At 52.3% G+C, this 15413-nt stretch overlaps 1 protein-coding gene across 1 annotated transcript; it reads right to left on the reverse strand.

Moving 5' to 3' along the window:
• NEU1 (neuraminidase 1) lies at positions 10127-15289 on the reverse strand. Its single transcript, NM_000434.4, has 6 exons — positions 15086-15289; positions 14467-14659; positions 13656-13918; positions 12907-13089; positions 12510-12732; positions 10127-12413 (listed from the first exon to the last, which is right to left on the reverse strand). Exons 1-6 carry the CDS (start codon positions 15242-15244, stop codon positions 12187-12189), a joined length of 1248 nt encoding a protein of 415 aa, NP_000425.1. The 5' UTR covers positions 15245-15289; the 3' UTR covers positions 10127-12186.

Raw genomic sequence — 15413 nt, forward strand, 5'->3', positions numbered from 1 at the left:
GGCTGTAGTGCACTGGAGCCATCTTGGCTCACTGCAGCCTCTGCCTCCTGAGCCACCAAGCCTGGCTGTTTTTTTTTTTTTTTTTTTTAATTCTTGTGTTATTTTCCAAAGACTATATAAAGAAACAAATTATCCTAAGGGTTAAAGTACCTGCTGACTCTTGAAATGTTAAACTTTATTGCCTCCAGTCAGGTGAACCTCAGGTGGAAGTGGGTCACATTCTAGGCTGGCTGTTGCCTGTCTTAAATTCTAAAGAATGTAGTGAAGATAAAGGTGTCAGCTGATAATCCCCAGTTATTTACTGATGGCAGATAATAAACTGGGAAGGGGGAGCCTTCTTCAAAGGGCCTTGCAGCATTAGCTGGTACCACCTTGAAACAGGGAGCAAGTCCCATCTCCTAGTGCCACCCAGGGAATACCTGTGCTCCACACTGGGTTGATTGCCTCTAAAAGAGGCAGAGGAACTGTTATAAAACAAAAAAAAAACTTTTAAAAGTTTTGGTTGGGCGTGGTGGCTAATGTCTGTAATCCCAGTACTTTGGGAGGTCAAGGCAGGAGGATTGCTGGAGTGCAGGAGTTTGAGGCCAGCCTGGGCGGAGACCACTTCTCTACAAAATTAAAAAATTAGGTGTACTCCCAAGCACCTGTAGTCCCAGCTACTTGGGAGGCTGAGATGGAAGGATCACTTGAGCCCAGAAGGTCGAGGCTACAGAGCCATGATTGTTCCACTCACTGCTCTCCGGCCTGTGCGACAGACCAAGACCCTGTATCTAAAAGGAAGAAAAAAGAAAATTGGCAAAAACAATGATATTAGCATCTGTATGTACTTATATTTGGTAGGATCATTTCAAAGTATATTAAAGAGATTATGACATTTTATCCCTTTGTATTTGAGTATGCATCTCCAAAAAATAAGGATGTTCATCTGCATATTCACAATACTATTATACCTGAGAAAAGCAAATTTAATTCCCTAATAGCACTTAATATTCAGGCCAGTTACCATGGCTCACACCTGTAGTCCCAGCACTTTGGAAGGCCGAGGTTGGTGGATTGCTTGAGCCCAGGAGTTCAAGACCAGCCTGGGCAACATGTCGAGACCTCGTGTCTTCAAAAAATACAAAAATTAGCAGGTGTGGTGGCACACACCTGTGGTTCCAACCACTCATGGGGCTGAGGTGGGAGGATTGCTTGAGCCTGGGAGGTCAAGGCTGAAGTGAGCTATGATTGCAGTACTGCACTCCAGGCTGGGTGACAGAGTGAGACCCTGTCTTTAAAAGAAGTGTGTTGTTGAGCACAGTGGCTCACGGCTGTAATCCCAGCACTTTGGGAGGCGGAGGCAGGTGGATCACCTGAGGTCAGGAGTTTGAGACCAGCCTGGCCAACATGGAGAAACCCCATCGCTACTAAAAATACAAAAATTAGCCGGGTGTGGTGGTGAACACCTGTAATCCCAGCTACTCTTGAGAATCTGAGGCAGGAGAATTACTTGAATCTGGGAGTCGGAGGTTGCAGTGAGCCGAGATCATGCCACTGCACTCTAGCCTGGGTGACAGAGCGAGACTCTGTCTCAAAAAAAAAAAAAAAAAAAAGTGTGTGTGTGAGTGTGGCTGGGGGGAGAGAGTGAGAGAGTAGAGGAGGAAAAAGTTTAAAACAGTTTGGGAGTTTGGAGAGTTTTTCGTGAAACACAGACTCATCAACCTTTTTATTTTTTCACTCTAATTTTTTTTTTCTTCAGACAGAGTCTTGCTCTGTTTCCCAGGCTGGAGTGCAGTGGCACCATCTCAGCTCACTGCAAGCTCTGCCTTCCAGGTTCACTCCATTCTCCTGCTTCAGCTTCCCAAGTAGCTGGGACTACAGGCTCCCGCCACCACGCCCGGCTAATATTTTGTATTTTTAGTAGAGACAGTGTTTCACCGTGTTAGCCAGGAGGTCTGGATCTCCTGACCTTGTGATCCGCCCGCCTTGGCCTCCCAAAGTGCTGGGATTACAGGCATGAGCCACCGTGCCCGGCCTAAAAAAATTTTTTATAAAAGTATTTGACCTAATGTGCTGTGGGTTTCTTATTTGTTTGTTTTTGAGACAAGTTTCTTGCCCTGTCGCCCAGGTTTGAGGGCAGTGGTGCGGTCTTGGTGCACTACAGCCTCTACCTCCTGGGCTCAAGTGACCCTCTCACCTCAGCTTCCCATGTAGCTGAAACTACAGGTGTGGGCCACTGCCCCAGCTAATTTTTAAATTTTTTGTAGAGATGAGGTCTTGCCATGTTGCCCAGGCTGGTCTCAAACTCCTGGGCTCAAATGATCTGCCCGTCTTGGCCTTCCAAAGTACTGGGACTGGGATTACAGGCATGTAATTACCGCCTCTGGCCAGCTTTTTTTTTTTTTTTTTTTTTTTGAGACAGAGTCTCGCTCTTGTTGCCGAGGCTGGAGTGCAGTGGCGTGATCTCGGCTCACTTCAGCCTTCCCCTCTCGGGTTCAAGCGATTCTCCTGCCTCAGCCTCCTCAGTAGCTGGCATTACAGGCATGCACTACCACGCCTGGCTAATTTTTGTATTTTTAGTAGAGACGGGGGTTTCACCATGTTGGCCAGGCTGGTCTTGAACTCCTGACCTCAGGTGATCCGCCCGCCTTGGCCTCCCCAAAGTGCTGGGTGGCGTGAGCCACTGTGCCCAGCCTAATTTTGTATTTTTAGTAGAGACTGGGTTTCTCCATGTTGGTGAGGCTGGTCTTGAACTCCTGACCTCAGGTGATTCGCCTGCCTTGGCCTCCCAAAATGCTGGGATTACAGACATGAGCCACCGCGCCCGGCCTCTTTTTTTTTTTTTTTTGGGACAGAGTCTCACTGTGTCACCAGGCTGGAGTGCAGTGGCATGATCTCGGCTTACTGCAACCTCTGCCTCCCAGGTTCAAGCGATTCTTCTGCCTCAGCCTCCCGAGTAGCTGAGACTACAGGGGCATGCCACCACACCCAGCTAATTTTTGTATTTTTAGTAGAGACCAGCCTGGTCAACATGGTGAAAACCCATCTCTACTAAAAATACAAAAAATTAGCCAGGTGTGGTGGTGGGCACCTATAATCCCAAATACTCAGGAGGCTGAGGCAGGAGAATCACTTGAACCTGGGACACGGAGGTTGCAGTGAGTTGAGATCACGCCACTGCACTCCAGCCTGCCTGGGCAACAGAGCAAGACTCTGTCTCAAAAAAAAAAAAAAATCCCAGAGTATTAGGAAAAGGAAGACCTATACTTCTACTATGGTAATTTGAGTCTGTTGTGGTTTTGTTGTTGTTGTTGTTGTTGTTGGAAAGATGTCCAAGCCATTGCTTTGATCTTCCTTCCCAATCCTTTCTTGGGCAAAAATTATTAGATGGCTATGGGTGGGCAGGCCTGTAACTCTAGCACTTTGGGAGGCCGAGCGGGTGGGGTGGTCAAGGATCACTTGAGCCCAGGAGTTTAAGACCAGCCTGGGCAACATAGTGGGACCCTGTTTCTACAAAAATGAAAATATTAGCTGGGCTTGGTGGCAAGTGCCTGTAGTCCCAGCTACTCAGGAGGCTGAGGTGGGAAGATTGCTTGAACCCAGGTGGTCAAGGTTGCAGTGAGCTGTGATCATGCTACTGCACTCCAGCCTGGGTGACAGAGTAAGACCCTGTCTCAAAAAAAAAAAAAAATACTTTTTCCTATTCCCTCCTTGTCATGACTTTTGGTTGGAAGGATTACATTAGCAAAAAAGTATCCATGGTCCCTGGTCCCTGGTATTTGCTGTTCAGGTCAGTGTTCATTGTTACTGTCTCTTTCCCTTATTTAAGGGACAGCTGAGAAGACAGAGAGAGCTTGAGCTGGTTTGATCCTAAGCAAAGGGGCTGGGAGTGGGGATCAATGTGTGAAGGGAAGGAGGGCCATGCAAGGTGAAAGGGGATGTTGGGGAAAGGGTTTCATGCTAGAATTTGGCTGCTGATCCAGCGGGCACTCACCAGGCAATGATGTGCAAAGTCCACCGTAAAAAGAAAACAAAACTTCAGGACTCTAAGTTTATGCCAAGATGGAAGTTAAGCCTTGGAGACTGAGTCATGTAGCATGTTTGCAATTCTGCTTCTTACAGACTCTCCTCCTCATTGCTCTTGTTCTGTAATGAGACCTCCTTTCCAATCACTGATCTTTGTTGTAGATTAACTGCCTCCTTTATTGTCCTGTACCTGACTCAGACCAGATGGCACCCAAGACCCCATGACTATTGCATCTTCAGTGTGGAATGTAAAAAACACCTTCCCCCACCCCCCAAAAAAGAAAAAAAAAATTGACTAATCAGATCATTGTAACTATGCAATAAGCCTTACCATAGAACTGAGAGTTGACAGCGTGCTGACAGCCCTCGCAGCCCTTGCTGGCTCTCGGCGCCTCCTCGGCCTTGGCGCCCATTCTGGCCGCGCTTGAGGAGCCCTTCAGCCCGCCACTGCACCGTGGGAGCCTTCTCTGGGCTGGCCGAGGCCGGAGCCGGCTCCCTCGGCTTGCGGGGAGGTGTGGAGGGAGAGGCGCGGGCGGGAACCGGGGCTGCACGCAGCGCTTGTGGGCCAGCGCAAGTTCCGGGTGGGCGTGGGCTCGGCTGCCCCGCTCTTGGAGCGGCAGGCTGGCCCACAAGCCCCGGGCAGGGCAGTGAGGGGTTTAGCACCTGGGCCAGCAGCTTGCTGTGCTCGATTTCTCACGGGGCCTTAGCTGCCTCACCACAGGACAGGACTCAGGACCTGCAGCCCGCCATGCCTGAGCCCCAACCCCGCCGTGGGCTCCTGTGCTGCAGAGCCTCCCCGACGAGCGCCACCCCCTGCTCCACGGCCCCCAGTCCCATCAACCTCCCAAGGGCTGAAGAGTGCAGGCGCATGGGGCAGGACTGGCAAGCAGCTCCACCTGCGGCCCCAGTGCGGGATCCACTGGGTGAAGCCAGCTGGGCTCCTGAGTGTGGTGGGGACTTGGAGAACCTTTATGTCTAGCTAAGGGATTGTAAATACACCAATCGGCACTCTGTATCTAGCTCAAGGTTTGTAAATATACCAATCAGCATCCTGTGTCTAGCTCAGGGTTTGTAAATGCACCAATCGACACTGTATCTAGCTAATCTAGTGAGGACATGGAGAACTTTTGTGTCTAGCTCAGGGATTGTAAACGCACCAATCAGCACCCTGTCAAAATGGACCAATCAGCTCTCTGTAAAACGGACCAATCAGCTCTCTGTAAAATGGACCAATCAGCAGGATGTGGGTGGGGCCAGATAAGGGAATAAAAGCAGGCTGCCTGAGTGAGTAGTGACATCCCGCTCTGGTCATTTTCCATAGAGTGGAAAGTTTGTTATTTCCGTTTTTGCAATAAATTTTATTGCTATTTGTTCTTTGGGTCCACACTACTTTTATGAGGTGTAACACTCACCGCAGGGGTATGCAGTTTCACTCCTGACGCTAGCGAGAGCACGAACCCCCCGGGAGGAACAAACAACTCCAGAGGCGCCGCATTTAAGAACTGTAACACTCCCCGTGAGGGTCTGCGGCCTCATTCTTTAAATCAATGAGACCAAGAACCCACCAATTGTGAACACAGAACAATGTTGAAATTCTAAGTTTCCATAAACTTTCTGTTTATATAAGCGATTCCAAACTTCTACACTTTTGGAACATAGACTAATATTCTTTGGAATCTTCAGCTCTAGACGGGCCACTTCCTCAACATTTGCAGTTGGATAAACTCTTTTTTTTTTTTTTTTTTTTTTTTAAATTTATTTTTTTATTGATAATTCTTGGGTGTTTCTCACAGAGGGGGATTTGGCAGGGTCATGGGACAATAGTGGAGGGAAGGTCAGCAGATAAACAAGTGAACAAAGGTCTCTGGTTTTCCTAGGCAGAGGACCCTGCGGCCTTCCGCAGTGTTTGTGTCCCTGATTACTTGAGATTAGGGATTGGTGATGACTCCCAACGAGCACCCTGCCTTCAAGCATCTGTTTAACAAAGCACATCTTGCACCGCCCTTAATCCATTTAACCCTGAGTGGACACAGCACATGTTTCAGAGAGCACAGGGTTGGGGGTAAGGTCACAGATCAACAGGATCCCAAGGCAGAGGAATTTTTCTTAGTGCAGAACAAAATGAAAAGTCTCCCATGTCTACTTCTTTCTACACAGACACGGCAACCATCCGATTTCTCAATCTTTTCCCCACCTTTCCTGCCTTTCTATTCCACAAAGCCGCCATTGTCATCCTGGCCCGTTCTCAATGAGCTGTTGGGCACACCTCCCAGACGGGGTGGTGGCCGCGCAGAGGGGCTCCTCACTTCCCAGTAGGGGCGGCCGGGCAGAGGCGCCCCTCACCTCCCGGACGGGGCGGCTGGCCGGGCGGGGGGGCTGACCCCCCCCACCTCCCTCCCGGACGGGGCGGCTGGCCGGGCGGGGGGCTGACACCCCCACCTCCCTCCCGGACGGGGCGGCTGGCCGGGCAGAGGGGCTCCTCACTTCCCAGTAGGGGCGGCCGGGCAGAGGCGCCCCTCACCTCCCAGACGGGGCGGCTGGCCGGGCGGAGGGCTGACCCCCCCACCTCCCTCCCGGACAGGGCGGCTGGCCAGGCGGGGGGCTGACCCCCCCACCTCCCTCCCGGACCGGGCGGCTGGCCGGGTGGGGGGGCTGACCCCCCCATCTCCCTCCCGGACGGGGTGGCTGGCCGGGCTGAGGGGCTCCTCACTTCCCAGTAGGGGTGGCCGGGCAGAGGCACCCCTCACCTCCCGGACGGGGCGGCTGGCCGGGCGGGGGGCTGACCCCCCCACCTCCCTCCCGGACGGCACGGCTGGCCAGGTGGGGGGCTGACCCCCCCACCTCCCTCCCGGATGGCACGGCTGGCCGGTCGGGGGGGCTGACCCCCCACCTCCCTCCCAGATGGGGCGGCTGGCCGGGCGGGGGGTTGACCCCCCCCACCTCCCTCCCGGACGGGGTGGCTGCCGGGCGGAGATGCTCCTCACTTCCCAGATGGGGTGGCTGCGGGGCGGAGAGGCTCCTCACTTCTCAGACGGGGCAGTTGCCGGGCGGAGGGGCTCCTCACTTCTCAGACGGGGTGGTTGCCAGGCAGAGGGTCTCCTCACTTCTCAGACGGGGCGGCCGGGCAGAGACGCTCCTCACCTCCCAGACGGGGTCTCGGCCAGGCAGAGGCACTCCTCACATCCCAGATGGGGCGGCGGGGCAGAGGCGCTCCCCACATCTCAGACGATGGGCGGCCGGGCAGAGACGCTCCTCACTTCCTAGATGTGATGGCGGCTGGGAAGAGGCGCTCCTCACTTCCTAGATGGGATGGCGGCCGGGCGGAGACGCTCCTCACTTTCCAGACTGGGCAGCCAGGCAGAGGGGCTCCTCACATCCCAGACGATGGGCGGCCAGGCAGAGACGCTCCTCACTTCCCAGACGGGGTGGCGGCCGGGCAGAGGCTGCAATCTCGGCACTTTGGGAGGCCAAGGCAGGCGGCTGGGAGGTGTAGGTTGTAGTGAGCCGAGATCACGCCACTGCACTCCAGCCTGGGCACCATTGAGCACTGAGTGAACGAGACTCCGTCTGCAATCCCGGCACCTCGGGAGGCTGAGGTTGGCGGGATCACTCGCGGTTAGGGGCTGGAGACCTGCCCGGCCAACACAGCGAAACCCCGTCTCCACCAAAACCAGTCAGGCATGGCGGCGCGTGCCTGCAATGGCAGGCACTGGGCAGGCTGAGGCAGGAGAATCAGGCAGGGAGGTTGCAGTGAGCCGAGATGGCAGCAGTACAGTCCAGCTTCGGCTCCGCATGAGAGGGAGACCGTGGGGAGAGGGAGACAGAGGGAGAGGGAGGGAGAGCCGGTGGATAAACTCTTTAAACTAGATTCTAAGCCTGGTACAGTGGTATGTGCCTGCAGTCCCAACTCTATCTACTCTAGGAGGCTGAGGCAGGAGGATCCCTTGAACTTCAGTCTGAATCTAACCTGGGCAACATGGCAAGACTCCATCTGTAAAAAGCAACAACACTAGATTCTCAGCTTTTGTTCGTTTGTTTAAGACAGTCTCGCTGTGTCTCCCAGACTGGAATGCAATGGTATGATCTTGGCCCACTGTAACCTCTCGCTCCCGGGTTCAAGCGATTCTCCTTCCTCAGTCTCCTGAATAGCTGGGACTACAGGCGCGACCCACAACACCCAGCTAATTTTTGTATTTTTGGTAGAGACGGGGTTTCGTCATGTTGACCAGGATGGTCTTGAACTCCTGACTTCAGGTGATTCGCTTGCCTCTGCCTCCCAAAGTGCTGGGATTATAGGTGTGAGCCACAGCGCCTGGCCTAGATTCTGAACTTTTTAATTATTATTTTTTAGATTGATAACACTTACCCCGATTTTTTTTTTTTTGAGGGAGAGTCTCGCTCCATAGCCCAGGCTGGAGTGCAGTGGCATGATTTCAACTCACTGCAATCTCCGTCTCCCAGGTTCAAGCGATTCTCCTGCCTTAGTCTCCTGAGTAGCTGGGATTGTAGGTGCCTGCCACAATGCCTGGCTAATTTTTTGAATTTTTAGTAGAGACAGTGTTTCACCATGTTGGCCAGACTGGTCTTGAACTCCTGACCTCAAGTGATCCCCCTTCCTCAGCCTCCCAAAGTGCTAGGATTACAGGCGTGAGCCACCGTGCCCAGCCAACTTGCCCCAATTTTTAAATAACTTATTTTATTTTATTTTTTAAATATTTCCTTGGCCGGGTGGGGTGGCTCACACCTGTAATCCCGGCACTTTGGGAGGCCGAGGCGGGAGTATTGCCTGAGGTCAGGAGTTCGAGACCAGTCTGGCCAACATGGTGAAACCGGGTCTCTACTAAAAATACCAAAAAATTAGCCGAGCGTGGTGGCAGGCGCCTGTAATCCCAGCTACTTAGGAGGCTGAGGCAGGGGAATTGCTTGAACCAGCGAGGCAGAGGTTGCGGGGAGCCAAGATTGCGCCACTGCACTCCAGCCTGGGCAACAGAGCAAGACTCCGTCTCAAAAAAAAAAAAAAAATTTCCTCACAGAGTAGAGCTAACTCATAAGCAGTGTGCCCAGAGTCGGCCCACTTTGTCCCATTAGTACAAACAAGCTCTTTCCCCTTTCAGTCTCCTGCCACTTGTCCCAATCTTTCCTGTGTATTTTTTTTTTTTTTAAGATGAAGTCTTGCTCTGTCGCCCAGGCTGGAGGGCAGTGGCATAATCTCGGCTCACTGCAACCTCTGCCTCCCAGGTTCAAGTGAGTCTCCTGCCTCAGGCTCCCGAGTAGCTGGGACTACAGGCGTGTGCCACCACATATGGCTAATATTTGTATTTTTAGTAGAGATGGGGTTTTACCATGTTGGCCAGGCTGGTCTAGAACCCCTGACCTTGTGATCCGCCCACCTCGGCCTCCCAAAGTGCTGGGATTACAGGCGTGAGCCACTGCACCTGACCCTTCCCTGTGTATTAAAAGAAAAAAAAAAAGCTGGAAAAAAAAGGTTCTTTAACTATTTCTGCAACTTTGACATACATATAATTCATTTTAGCTGGACACTTGCACTTGTTTAAAAGTTCTGACCCTGGTTTTCAAACTTAAACGTATTACGAATCACCCAGAAGGCTTGTTAATGCCTGGTGGCTCCAACACCAGAGCTTCAGATTCCATGGGTCTGTAAAGAGTGAGGGAGGGAAGGTCAAGCTTTTTTTCTTTCTTGAAGGTTTTTTGTTTTGGTTTGGTTTTTTGGAGATGAGGTCTCACTCTGTCACCTAGGTTGGTGTGCAGTGGTGCAATCATAGCTCACTACTGCCTCGAACTCCTGGGGTCAAAGAGATCAAGCCATCCTCCCATGTAGCTAGGACTATAGGTGTGCGTTACCATGCTTGGCTAATTTTTAAATTTTTTAGACATGGGGTATTGCCATGTTGCCCAGGATGCCCTTTAATTTGATCATCCTGCCTTGGTCTCCCGAAGTGCTAGCATTACAGATCTGAGCCACCACACCTAGCCAGGAAGGTAGTGTCTGTCTCTCAAGCCTCCCAGCACTTCTGTTTCTAACAGGTAGTAGTTCATGGGTCAGACATTCATAGTGTCCTTTCCTTTTTGTCTTCCACTATTTCTTTTTCTTTTTTTTTTTGAGCAAGGGCTCTCCCACTTACCTGCAGGCTGAACAGATTCTTTTCATAAGCATCTGCCTGGGGAATATTTTCTTACATAATTTGCCATAGGAAGTGCTCACTTCTCTGTCAGGCTAGCTGGGACAGGATTCCCATCTGCATTTCACACACTTGCACCCTATTTCATGGAGGATGGTATCCTACCCCATGTTAGAAATATAAAACAGCGTGGATTTTTTTTTTTTCAGACGGAGTCTCACTCTGTTGCCGAGGCTGGTGTGCAGTGCTGTGATCTCAGCTCACTGCAAACTCCGCCTCCTGGTTCAAGTGATTCTCCTGCCTCAGCCACCTGAGTAGCTGGGACTATAAGTGTAAGCCAACACGCCTGGCTAGTTTTTGTATTTTTAGTAGAGATGGGATTTCACCATATTGGCCAGGCTGGTCTCGAACTCCTGACCTTGTGATCCGCCCACCTTGGCCTCCCAAAGTGCTGGGATTATATGTGTGAGCCACCACGCTTGGCCAAGTGTGGATTTTAAAATATCTTACAGGCTGGGTGCAGGGGCTCAAGCCTGTAATCCCAGCACTTTGAGAGAACATGGCCGGCAGATTGCTTGAGCTCAGCAGTTTGAGACCAACCTAGGCAATATAGTGAGACTTTGTCTCTACTAAAAATTAAAAAAATCAGCCCGCCGGCACCATGGCTCATGCTTGTAATCACAACACTTTGGGAGGCCGAGGCGGGTGGATCACCTGAGGCCAGGAGTTTGAGACCAGCCTGGCCAACATGGTGAAACTCCGTCTCTACTAAAAATACAAAAATTAGCCGGGTGTGGTGGTGGGCACCTGTAATCCCAGCTATTCGGGAAGCTGAGGCAGAAGAATCGCTTGAACCTGGGAGGCAGAGGTTGCAGTGAGCCGAGATCGCACCACTGCACTCTAGCCTGGGTGCCAGAGCAAGACTCCATCTCAAAAAAAAAAAAATTAAATTAAAAAATAAATAAATAAAAAATAAAAAATATCTTATGGCACTCCCTTCATACTCATTACACCTGTGAAGATCAACCTGTTTCTCGGTGATAAGAAGGAATGTAGGCTGGGTGCGGTGGCTCATAGCTGTAACCTCAGCACTTTGGGAAGCTGAGGCATGAGGATTGCTTAAGCACAGGAGTTCCATACCAGCCTGGGCAACATAGCGCAACCTTGTCTCTACTGAAAATAAAAATTAAAAAAATTAACCAGGCATGGTGTCACTGACCTGTAGTCCCAACTACTCCGGAGGCTGAGACGTGAGGATCACTTGAGCCCAGGAGGTTGAGGCTTCAGTGAGCCGTGATTGTGCAACTGCACTCCAGCCTGGGTGACAGAGCGAGCCCTGTCTCAAAAAAAGCAACAACAAAAAAAGAGGGCATGTCAAAAGGAAAAGAGGATTTGATTTGCCAAAGTCAGATTTTCACAGGCAGTACGCACATCAGGTCTCTCCCCAGAACTCACCCAGGCTCACAAGGATACATGAGGAAAACAGACACGAAGATGTGCATTGACAGAACCATAGAGACTCTACAAATATTCATTATCCTTCATTAAAAATTTTAAGTTACAAACATTTTGATTGATAGTCAGTCATGGTGGTGCACCTAGTCCTTACTCTGAAACCAAATATCCTGCCATCTGGGGACTTTCACCAGCCCTGTCGGTTATCTTACCGCAACACCAAAGAGGAGGCTCAGCCTTCCCCAGTTCCCTGAGTTCACATTGATTCAATTCTACAGCTCACTAGACCTGCCCAAGACAGGACCAATCAATGTCCCGGGAGGGCAGAGAGGGTGGTGGGGCCACACTTAGCCATATGGAAAGACAGTATTCTCAGATGAGGGCAGGACTTTTTTGTGGGAGAGGACGCCTAGCTTTCAGTCCTAAAGGAAGTGATTTCCCTGGTAAAGGGAAGGTGATTTTGCCAAGGCTGGAGTCTAAAGGAAGATGGAACTGTCTTTCAGGCGTCTCCAGCAGACCCTCTACAGACCCGTGTTCCTGAAGGCAGAGTCCTGAAGGCAGAATACCCCTGTGGCAGTGGCACAGCTCAGAGTGTCCCATAGACACTGATTTTGGCCACGGAGATGCTCTCTGTGTAGTGGTTCCGGCCTTTCTCATACAGGACGTAGAGCTGGGGGGCCTGCTCCTCTCCATCCATGCTGCCCTCCAGGGTTGCCAGGGATGAATAGCCACTGGGGCCTGGCCATAGCTGGACTGTCTCTTTCCGCCATGAGGTACCATTGCTGAAGCTCCATCGCAGGGTCAGGTTCACTCCTGGGGAGAGCAGGAGAGTCAGGGAGAGAGGGTCTCTGCCCAGGCCTTGTCTAGACACAGGGCTCTCCCTGCTGACCCCACCCATGAGGCACTCACGGAACTCTGGATGTGCTGGGTTGGAGAAGAAGACAATGCCGGAGCTGGTGACTACAGCTCCTGCAGCTACCACAGGGTCCACGAGCTCAGGGTCGAAGGTCACATCACGGGGCCTTAGTGTATCACAGGCATCATAGCTGCGGAGGACAATTCGGCAGTGGCAGTGGTAGTTGTTCTGGTTTCGGGCATTGATGACGACTGAGCCATCTGGGAGCTCATAGGGCTGAGGGGAGAGGACAGGACCTCAGGGAGGGAACAGGGAAAATGCCCTGTCCCCGAGGGGAGCAAGGGTGTGTGGCACTGAGTGGAGCAGTCAGACCCTGGGTCTGTGCGTGAAATGATGTTCTGGAGGGCAGGGAGGGTCAAATGGGTAGGGAACATCTCATGGACTCCTGACCTGGCATTCATCAGGATTGAAATCATTTTCCTGCTTGGGCTGACCGTAGGGGATGCCGCTGACCCCACTTCCGTAGCGCCAGGAGGCACCATGATCATCGCTGAGGAGACAGAAGACTCCGTCCCGCTCCAGCGTCCCATGGCCACACACGATGAGGCGGCCCTTCCGTGGCTCCCGCTGTTTCTGTGGGAAAGGGAACTGGGTGTCACAGAAGGAGACTCTAGGGGCTCAGAGGCAGGGACAGAGAACCCACCACTTCCCAAATGCAATCACATGTATGGTCCCCTTGAGTTCAGCCCTTGCTCACTGAGGGTTCCAGTCAGATCCCATAAATACACACCCTGTTTGAATTAAGAAGCTCTCCCAGGGTGTACAGCTGGACATGTGCACCAGGGGCCCAGCCACAGGGTGCATGAGAGCTTAAACCCAACCTGTGCTCACTCGCCAAGCTGTGCACCCTGGCACAGGCTTGTGTCTGTCCAAAGAGGCAGTGCCTTTTTCTACTTTGCATGAGGGTATTGCATGGACTAACGCAGTCCTGTTGACAATGCCAAATGGGAAGCCAATGGCAGAGTTCCCTCTTCTCCTGATAATGTGTTCCTACCAGGATGCCCTGTCTTTCAAGGAATCCCACCCAAGCCAGAAAATCTGACTTCAGAGAATCTTCCCCTTGGAAAGGAGTCCATTTGGGGGTATCCCTCAGACTCTCCACAAGGCAGCCCCCTCCACCTATCTCCTAGGACAGAGACCTGAATACCAGAGCCCGGTCCAGGGGCAAACACTTCAGTGCCAATATCCAGGGAGAGATTCCGGGGTGTGCTCCAGGAAACACCATCATCCTTGCTCCATACCAACATGGTAGAGGCCACCTGGCAGCCGGCCTTGTGAGCACAAAGGGAGTAGAAAAGAAATACTACTCCTGTCTCAACATCGCTCACTACTGCCCCAAGGTTCAGCCCATCGGGGACATCCCCATCATTGACAATGAACGCTGTAGGAGACCATGTGCTGCCTGAAAAAAATTGGAGGAAGAAACCCAGAGTGAGCACTCTGCAGGTACCCTTTCTACCACTTCCCGTTAATTTCCCACCTTCTGCTAGGGACCTCAGGCCTTCCGATGGTCCCAGGGTGCAATCCAACACTTGCACTATCTATACCTCTTGTCCTGTTTTATTTTTCTCCATTGCATTTATCACCTTGCAACAGACAAAAAAGTTTACTTGTTTATTATGCTTGTCTGTCTCCTTCCAGTACAATTTAAATCCTGAGGGCAGAGATTTTTGATCTGTTTTGTTCGTGGCTATATTCATGAAACCTAAAATAGTGCCTGGTATAGGTATATAGTACCCAATAAATGTTTGCTAAGTGAATGTCCAACTCCTTGGTGATCCCAATTTCCAGATCACTGTCCTAGACACTTGCCCTTCTCGGGTTCCCTCTACCCCTCAGGGACTCAGGCAACCAACCCTCTAAGTTCCCCTATCCTCAGGGCCCTTGGGCTCATTGGGCTGCCCACCCATCCAACCTAGCACCGGCTCTTTCACCCAGACATCTTTATACCCTGGTCCATGGACCTCCGCAGGGCGATGAACTTGGCCCCCTCATCGGATGAGGACATTTTCCTCGCCTCAGCAAAGGCGAGAAGAGTGCCCCGCGGAGTGGCTGTGATGAGCGGGATGCGGAAGGTGTCCACTGAGCCGATCTGTCTCCCGCTCACCCACAGCAGTTGCTCCATGGTCACCAGCGGCTGCACCTGTCATGGGAGGAGGAAGGGTCAACAAAGACAAACTTGTCTTGGGGGTTTTAGGAACCCACGTTCCGATGGGAGAGGGAGGATCTAATGGGGATCCCGAGTAGGGGATGGGGTCCCAGAACAAGAAAGAGGAACACGAAGGGGAGTTTGGAGCGAAGCTGGAGGCTCGGAGCAGGGGAGGGTCTACGAAAGGAGAAGGCGCCTTCAGGGAGGGAAGGGGACCCCAAAAGAGGAAGGGGCTCGAATGAGGAGAAGGACGGGGACCCGGAGAGGGAGAGGGGCTGGGAGCGGTAGGAGGAAACGGGGTCTGGGAGAAAGAAAAGGGTCCTGTCGCGGAAAGTCGGCTCAGCCGCCCGCGTTCCGGGGGACACTAGGTGTCGATCACCTGCGCGGGTCGGGGATGGGGCTATGCAAAGGGTGACTCACCAGACCGAAGTCGTTCTCAGCCTTGGACCAGGAGGCTGCCAGAGACAGCAGCAGGAAGATCGCGGCAAACACCCAAACCCTACAGCCTCCCCAGAAGCCCAGAATCCGCGGCCCCCAGCGTCTGTCCGGGAGCGCCGTGCTGGGTCGCTCCCCAGTCATCTCTCCCCGCAGCTGCCGCGACCCTGGCAGCTAGACTCCACAGAGTCGGGAGTCAGCTGACCCGGACCCTTTAAAGCGCAGATGTCACCCTTAAGCCCGCCCCGGTCTGGAGGCCCCGCCGCGCTTCCCGGACTCTAATTGGTCTTCAAGTAGCTCATCTCCTCCCACG

The sequence above is a fragment of the Homo sapiens genome, chromosome 6 (genome assembly GCF_000001405.40).
Source record: "Homo sapiens chromosome 6, GRCh38.p14 Primary Assembly".
Taxonomy (NCBI): domain Eukaryota; kingdom Metazoa; phylum Chordata; class Mammalia; order Primates; family Hominidae; genus Homo; species Homo sapiens.

Coding starts and splice junctions, on each gene's coding strand:
- NEU1 (NM_000434.4), bottom strand. CDS start 15,244: ATGACTGGGGAGCGACCCAGCACGGCGCTCCCGGACAGACGCTGGGGG. Junction 13,090..13,655: donor GACCGGGCTCTGGTATTCAG/GTCTCTGTCCTA, acceptor CCTTTCCCACAG/AAACAGCGGGAGCCACGGAA. Junction 12,733..12,906: donor TCAATCCTGATGAATGCCAG/GTCAGGAGTCCA, acceptor CTCTCCCCTCAG/CCCTATGAGCTCCCAGATGG.